The 8,817-nt window shown below is 45.7% G+C and overlaps 1 annotated feature.

Moving 5' to 3' along the window:
- Window positions 8,090–8,590: an enhancer, noted in NCBI's record as "H3K4me1 hESC enhancer chr20:21033223-21033723 (GRCh37/hg19 assembly coordinates)". NCBI's record gives its function as "activates a minimal SCP1, AML or CMV promoter by ChIP-STARR-seq in naive H9 embryonic stem cells {active_cell/tissue: H9 hESC(naive)}" and the evidence as "EXISTENCE:reporter gene assay evidence [ECO:0000049][PMID:30033119]".

Here is an 8,817-nt window from a genome sequence, read left to right on the forward strand (position 1 = left end):
TGGGTGGGCCCTGACAGTGTTTGCTTCACCATATATGTCTCCAGAAGGTGGTTTTGGCTTCAAATTTGATGATCATTTCATCTTCTCACAAAGCCATCATTCTAAGAAAATTGCTCCAGCCAAGGGCTTGGAATTATGAGAACTGGAGGTAGAATATCTCTCTTCTCCTAGACCCCTCCAGGTGTTCACCTGTGAGAAAGGAGAGGGTTAGACACCCTCTGCATGAGACGTTGTTTGGCACCAAAGAGTCAAAGTCCATGCTGTAGACTTCCCAAGGCGCTAACTTCTGCTTGCCTCCCTCATCAGCATCTCTAAACTTCTGAGGGGCTGGGACAAATGGGCAGGTGAAACAAACCAGCGGACATATTCAAGGCAGGCAGGGAGTGGATTGGATACACATATTTCTTTTTCCTGAGAGAGGAGTTAAAAGCCCGTAGTGAAAGAATGAAGTGATAAACAGTATGGTCAGGGATATTTTAGCCTTGGAAATCCAGATGTAAGATATTATGAGTATGTTTGCTACATTGATTTGCTCCACTTTTTAGCACTTAAAAGGGAAAATGAGCTTTATATCACATTATAACTGACTGTGTAGTGTCGAGGGGTGTGTGCGCGTGCGCGCGCGTGTGTGTGTGTGTGTGTGTGTGTGTGTCTTATGCATAATCAAGAAAGACTCAAGAGTTTATAAAGACCGAGAGGGCAGGCATGAAATATGTCATAGACATATTGAAAGTGTGCTACTACCAAATATATTGCAAGCCAAATTTATATTGGAACCAAACCTGAATTCTGATTTTTGTTCCTTTTAACCAAAATAAAAAACTTTTCAACATTGAAAGCTTTGATGGAATCCCCATAGAAGGAATTTAGATGAAACTAAACATAATCTTCATTTTCATTTTAAAATTTAAATTGGGTGCTATATTACAAAGATATATTCCACAAAATACAATTTCAATGCCAAATCATCCAAGAATATGGGAAAGGTGATCTTCTAAAGGTTTGGGTTTTTTATTTTCTCCTGGAGCACTTTGTCTAGATAAGGTTGATTCCTGCCTTCTGTGACTATGATTTCAAATATGACTTCTCTGAACTTTATACCCTTATTTTGAAGGAAAGCATTTTAAGAGCAAAGGATAAAATTCAATTAATTGAGATGACAGAAAATAATCTATTAAGTGAATATATCAGGCAATTGGAAGCTTTCATACCTTTCAAAAAGGAAATAACCTATTTCTTGCCTTGTTATCTAATGACACAGGAGTTTATTTCTCTTGAAGCTGTTACAAATCTACCTAATGAGGCCTGAACACTGTTGCCAAGCAATTAGAGTTTTTATTGTGTCACTGATTTCCTTCATTTCCGCAGTCGCTGATAATCATTAGCCAATACTGTCTCCGTCTAAGAATGCACAGCGTGCATATGTGTGTCTGTGTGCATATGCGCGCACACACACACACACACACACACACACACACATTCAGCCTGCTGAGAATGCCTGTGGGGGAGACAGCCTCAGACAGTTACAAAATTTGTAAATTTCTGCACATCTTATTTGTCACTCATAAACAACAGAGTCCAGCAGAAGTGACTTCCAAGGCCAGGTCGTAAAAAGTAATGCAGTTTCCATCTTAGGAGCTGGAATACCTGCTCTTACAAAGTTCAGCTGCCACTGCAGCCCAAGGGCCCAGAGGCCCCCATGTTGTGAGGAAGCCCAAACAAGCCCATGCAGATGACCACATGGAGAGAGAAAGAAATTCCTGGCCGTCTCCATCTGCTGTGCCAGCTCCAGCCACCTACTGATGGCAACCACATGAAAGAAGACCCCAGCAGAAACTTCCCAAATTCCGGACCCACAGAAACCATAAATAGGAATAAAATGGTAGTTGGAGATTAAGCCAGTAAGTTTTGGCATGCTGTTGCACAGCAATACATAACCAGAACACTACATCCTAGAGCCTGAGTATGATTAGACTATTTCTCTATACACATTCCTTCTCTTAACCTATGCAGCAGATGTTATCAGTGCTGTCTACAGCCCCCTGACATTCATCATTTCCATACCAGCTGTCAACTTCCTACGGAAAGCTACTGTCACTCTTTGCCTGGGGGCTTTCCTGGCTCAGCCCATGTGGCCAGTGAGGGGCAGGAATGAAGTACCAGGGAGTTATTGACTCCAGAGAAGCCCTTAATTAATGGAAATGGAAATTTCTAGATAAGTAGCCCAACTCTTACCTCTCAGATGGAAAACTCCGATGCATGTTCACACCATCTACAGAGGTGCTGCACCTTCTCCCCAGCTGCTCACAGCAGCCTGATTTGCTAACACCTATCATGGGCTGCTCTGCCTGCTCTCCTCCCTACTGGTGCTTCCTGGCAACATTTGTCTGCAAATTCTCACCTCAGGGGCAGCTCCAGAGGGAATGAAGACTAAGACAATGGGGAACCAGGCTGAAGGGCAGTTGGATCAACCAGCTCCTCAACTGCTGCTTCAAATCCCATGAAGAGTGGAAGGGACACTCAGAGTGGAGCCTGAACTGTGCCCCACCTGAAACTAGATTCAGAAGGGGAATAAACACCCTCACTCATTCAGATGTATTAGCACCAGGAAGATGTACAAGCGAACATCAACACAATTGACAAATCATGCACATGTCCAGAGTGGGTAATTTTGCCACATACAGCCATTCCCCTTTCTTGCTCCAAATTTTGAAAAATTTTGGAGTTGGTAAGGATGTATTACATACTGACTGTATGCCTAGAGCTCTGTGAGACAAGAGTAACAATCGTGAGAGAAAAGGCACACCCCAATGTCACAGCACTAAGAATGCAGTCAGGGAAGCAGTGAGTTGTATTCACAGCAAAGCCACAGAGATGGCTCACAGCGACTCGGGTGAGAGGGTTGCAGAGAAGCAATCTCCACGCTGAGTGGTAATATCAGGGTAGTGATATCACTCATCTTCCCATTCCTAGGGAGCTGCTGTGCTTGGTGGAAGAGGACTTAACCAGCCAAGCTTGTGGGAACCCAAGCTATTTGCTTGGTACCTGACTGCAGAGGACACCGGCATGGTAATTGCCATTCGTGGAGTGCCTCCTCTGTGGCAGGCAGTGTTCAAGGGCTTTTATATGCAAGGTGGTGGCACTTTATGCAAAGGGTACTGTTCCTGAAGAAATCACATAATGCAAAGCTGCATGATTCAACATAAATCCCAAGGAAGGAGGTACTTCTGATCACCAGCCATGTGGCAACATCATAAACCAGTACACAGTTCATTCGACCTATCAGCTTTGAAATGACCCAATTCTAGATTAATTTTTATTTCATGGAGACTTGCATTGTTTCAAATTTGCAGCAAAAATATAAAATAACTAACATTGTATATAATACTAAATTCTCATAAAATATATCGTTATGACATAATCGTCATCTTCATGATTCTCCTAATAATTAAAAGCTAATATGTGTTAGTTAACGTTGCCATTCACTCATCACATAGTAATTCATAAAGAGCATCATGTTTTTAAATACCATAAGCCAAGCAGAGATGTTAACTCAATCTGCTACAAAGTAAATGTTGCCATTATTTCGTTTCGTAATTGGGGAAAACTGAGTCACAGCGAGGTTAAGTAACTTGCCTACAGTTACACAATTGATAGGTGGTGGAAAACTGGGACTCCAGGCCAGGCAGTCCGGCTCTAGAACCTATTACGCTCTCCACCACCAGGCTCTACTTCCTCATTCAAACCTTACAATGGCCCTAGATGGACATATTGCATGAAATAACTGAGACTGGAGTGGTTTAGCCAGAATTCCAACCTGGTTCTATCCAGCTGTAAAACCCACATGCCTGCATTCAGCTCGGCTGCATCCTGCCAGCATCTTATTTCTTGGCTGTATCAGGACCAAGATAGACTTATTCCAGCACACATCAAAGCTGACCTTGTCAACTCAGATACTTTTAATTCAATATAAAATAGAAAAATGCAGGGAAAATCCGTTTTTACCATGAAACTTGATAAGAAGCAGGAAGACATAGTGGTTGGTGACCTTATACCAATAATAGCACACATTTATTAAGTCCCTACTACAGACCAGGCACTGCCCTGGGAACCTTCTGGATGTTAGCTCCGTGAAGCCATATCACAGCCTAACGAGGTCAGCCCTGCTGTTCCTCCGGCCGTGCAGTTATCTCAGAGAGGCAAAGAGGAATGGAACTGGGAGGGTCTGCAGCTGTTTCTCTTAATAGACTGCTCTCATTGGGTCTCTCCTCAACTCATAAAGGTGCAAAGCAGCTCGGATCACGATGGGGAGGAAAAACAGGCAGGAGAGGTAGGTTGCTCAGAGGACGGCAACAGCAGTCCTTAGAATGCCCAGAGGTGAAAGCAGAGAAGATGTTTCCTTCACTAGTTCCCAGAGGCCCCAGAAGAGCTCAAGAGTTCCAGGTTAGGGATACCCTGTGAGCTTCCCGGAGGGCGGGCCCATCAGAGCCCATCAGAGCGCCCACTAGAGGGCAGAAGTGAGCAGAGGGGAATGAGGCTGGCACAAAAGGCACTGGGAGGGTGGAGGGAGAATGGATGCTGGTACAGTGGCCAGAGGGGACTGGGAAGTGAGGAAAATTGCCATGGTCCAGGTGAGGTATGAGAGTCCTCAGGGACCTCCTGTGTCTTTGGGACCTGGTTTTTCTGGAACTTTGAGAGACTGTGGCTCATTAAGGACTATTAGTTACTCTGATAAGCGTAATGGTGCATGCCGTCTTAAGGGCTGATTTTGCTGTCACTTAATTGAAATTTATCCCAATACATCTTCATCAGAACATTTGGAAATGGAACGGGCAAGGCAGCCCCACTGAGTGTATAGCAAAAGTGTGGGCTGAAAACTGGTAATCCACACATAGTGTAAAGAGAACGTGCTATGTAATTCTCACTAAGGTACTGCCCGGCACGGGAGCTATAGAGCTTGGCCCAGAGCCCCTTACCAGCTGCTGGGAGTGTTGGCTGCTAGGGATCTCAGCTGCCTCCCTCACTGCAGAATTGTCCTCAGGCCAAAAGGGAAGCTACTTACCCAGGAGGTTATGAGCCCATCCCATGCGCGGCCAGAGCCCAGTGACCACACCTTACAGGGCTCATAGATGCCTCAAGGGGCATGAACTCCACAGTGCAATTCACACTCCAGAGCTCCCCAGGGGGCTGGAGCTAAATCCCAGGCACAGATCATAGCTTTGCATAGCATTAACTGATGAAGTAGAAATGACATTTCCAGTTACCCAGCAGGGAGGGGTTTTTGAGGCCTACTCTCCATAGGCTGGTTAGTTCCAACTAGACAATACTTTAGAAATTAGCCAACCCATTTTCATCAAGGGTGGAATCCTGTGTGAGGCACTAAAAACCTAGAAACCACCCAATAAGTTAGGTAAAGCATCCACATACAACAATAAAGTACTACACAGATGGTGGAAATCTGGATATAGATGTAGATATCTCCTGGCATAGGAAGTACAAATTCAGGCTGTAGAGCCATGTGAATAGCATGGCCCCTTTATTTTACATTGATTGATTGATTTACTTACACACACATACACACACACACATACACAGTGTCTTAGTGATTGTGGTTCTTCCCAGATCAGGCTGAGACAAGGGCTTACATGTACATGGTCAGTGTATTTTGGAAAGAGACCACAGAAACGGGAGAGGGAGGCTAGAGAAGAAAGAGACAGAGAAAGAGGGATCATCACTACTGTGAACATCTGGGCCTAGGCCTATTTGGGACTCTCTGGAGCACTATGTAGACAGCCTTAGAATCATTCGCTTGAGGAACAGGACAGGGGCATTTTTATCCACTAGATATAGGCCCCATTGGTCAAGAGTTGCCCTATGAGGTGTTCATTCCTTTTCCCTTCCAGCGATCACCTGCACTGGAATGGTGGTGAGTGCTCCATCCTGCAGTGGCAGGGGTGCCCTGAGGCATACAGCAAGAGATAGGCAGGGGAGGTGGAGTTATACCTGCACAGCTGGTGGCCATGGCAACAACTGGAGTTAAAAGATGGGTCAAGGGGCTATGAAGAGGGCACAGGAGGTATACAATCCACATAGAGAAGTGTCAGGAAGGATATTTACCAAACTGTTGACGACAGTCATCCCTGAGAAGGAGGATTCTTTCTCTTCATTATGCTTTCCTGAACAGTTTAACTTTTTTCATAAAACTATACAACTTTTTGCAAAAAAAAAAAAAAAAAAGCCATATCAAAGAAGAAAACATCCCATTTGACTCCCTCATTTTACAGGTGAGTGATTCACATTTGGAGCAGGGCTCATGGACTCGTGGCTGGGAGCTGTCTGCAGTGTGAGCACAGTACTGTGGCCCCGCCAGCCCTGGGAATGTAAAGGCTATTGCCTACACAGCTGCAGCTCAGAGTGGACCATGAACAGACCAGGTAGTGCAGCCCCATGAGGAGCAAAGATGATGGGGCAGGAAGTCCAGATCCAGACAATAGCCACACACCCCTGCCCCCAATCCTGAGGAAATCGCTATTCTGAATGCCATCACCAAGTAGTTTTGCTTGAGCTTGAACTTCATTATTACAGGTCAATTTCCCCAGGAGGCAGAAGCTGAGTTTTTTTAGGCAATGCTCTTGGTATCAACACCTGTGAGGTGTGAATGAAGCAGATTGAGGCTGGACTCTGGACTGGAATGAGGTCTCAAGGTATCAGGTGATCCCATCAGGACCTCCAAGCTGTTGGAACAAGGGAGCTGACTTTATGCCCTGCACTGACGAATCATTGCGGTGTTTGTGCTTTTGGTGTTATATCTAAAAATATATTGCAATATCTGAGGTCATAAAAATTTACCTTTACGTTTTCTTCTAATAGTTTTATCATTTTAGCTCTTACATTTGGGTTTTTGGTCTATTTTGGGTTAATTTTTGTATACGGTATGAGGTAAGGTCCAACTTCGGTCTTATGGGTATGGTTATCCAGTTGTCCCTGCACCATTTGCTGAAAAGACTATTCTCCACTGAATGGTCTTGGCACCCTTGTTGAAAATCAGTTGGCCATGGGCACGTGATTTTATATCTGGACTCTCAATTCTATTCCATTGTTTACATGTCTATCCTTTTGCCAGTACTGCACTGTTTTGATTACTGTTGCTTTCTAGTAAGTTTTGGAATGTTGAAATGAGTGTTAACATGTTTTAACATGTCTTTTTGTAGACACATTCAATCATTTCTCTTGAATCTATGCCTGGGAGTGAAATTGCTGGTATGCATATATTTAATTTCAGTAGAAACTGCATAATAGTTTATACACGATTTATTTTTAGTAACATGTGGATATGAGTTTATACAAATCAATTTAATCAAAACCAATTGCACACCTGAATGTCATCAGTTGTCCTGAATTGCAACTGTTCTTATGTTTTCATGGTGAGTGGTGGTGGCCTTGCTCTCACAAAGTTTTTCTGTGACTTTCTGATCAACAAGTTCCGTGGAGGTGGTGATCTCTGGGAGGCAGAGTCCTCTGGGAAAAGGGCCTCAGGTTGACTTGGGAGGTCAGCCAGAGCAGGATCTAACACCTTACTCAAGAAGACAGAAAGCAGAGAAGAGGTCACAAGCAGCAACTCAACTGGTGAGCCTCCATTGGCCAAGGCCGCTGCATTGAAAGCACCTGTGGGCAAATCACAAAAGTCACCACTCTGGGGAGATGACCGGTGCCCCCTGTGATGGACCAATTCACAAAAAGCTCCCCTTCCTCTGCTGACTGAGCCCCATGCCTGGCTCAGGGTGTGGTGGACAGGCCGGGCAGGGCCAGGCATCAGCCTCCACTGGTCACTCTCATGAGTGGGCACCGCATGCGTGTTCTCAGGAGCCTGCCAGAGATTGTCCTGCTGTGACTGTGCTGACAGCCAACAAGAGACAAGAACCACATCAAAATTAGGAGGAAAGCTATAGCCCACCCCAGCACTGGGCTGGGTGCTTTAGGCAGGCCTAGCTGGCCTGCCCAGTTGCATCTCCCAGGGGTGCCTGACTTAGCATGGGTTCCCCCAAAGCAGGGCCTGAGATGAAGATTTGCGTTCCGGTGGTTTGTTTGGGGGCTGACCCCCAGGAAGCCCTGTGAGGAAGTGGGGAGAGTCAGGCAGGAGGGAACCCAGTGTGGGTAAGTGAGTGGGTGACTGCAGTGGGCGCCCAGGACAAAATCCCCAGGACGCTGTAGCTGTAGGGACGCCTCGGGGAGGCTGTAGGGAATTGTCCCTCTGAGTAGTGAGGACGCTGCATGTTTTTCCATTAATTCCCACCCTTCATTGATGGAGGGTCACTCCCAGGGTGTTAACTCCCGGGTGCTTCTGGTTTGCCCCATGGATGAGCACAGTCCACAGACAACACCCTCAGACAGAGAGACACAGGAAACTGACCTGGGAGGGAGTGTCAGCAGGACACCTCCTCAGTGGGTTAAGTGAGTGGTGGCAGGATACCGACAGCACCTGCTACATTCCCTAGGCCCAAAGTTAAGAGTTTCCCCTGCCCCCAGTAGGCCCACTGACTAAACCATACAGATTAGAATAGAGCAGCCAGTGAGACCCTGACCATTATTTATGTTCCCTCCTCTGTCACCCCAGATGTTGGGGGAGGGGTAGAGAGAGTGGGAAAATGTTGTTGCAAAAATGCAAAAACCCATGGCCTGGAGCAGATAAACCGTGCTTGAATGAATGGCTTGTTCTCTAGCAGAGAAGGAACTTTATTTGAATAGTTAATCCTCGCGTGTTGCAACAGCCCAAGATCACCCTGCAAAGGCTATTATTTGCCCAGAGCGTTGCAGGCT

Source organism: Homo sapiens, chromosome 20 (assembly GCF_000001405.40).
Source record: "Homo sapiens chromosome 20, GRCh38.p14 Primary Assembly".
In the NCBI taxonomy this organism is placed as follows: domain Eukaryota; kingdom Metazoa; phylum Chordata; class Mammalia; order Primates; family Hominidae; genus Homo; species Homo sapiens.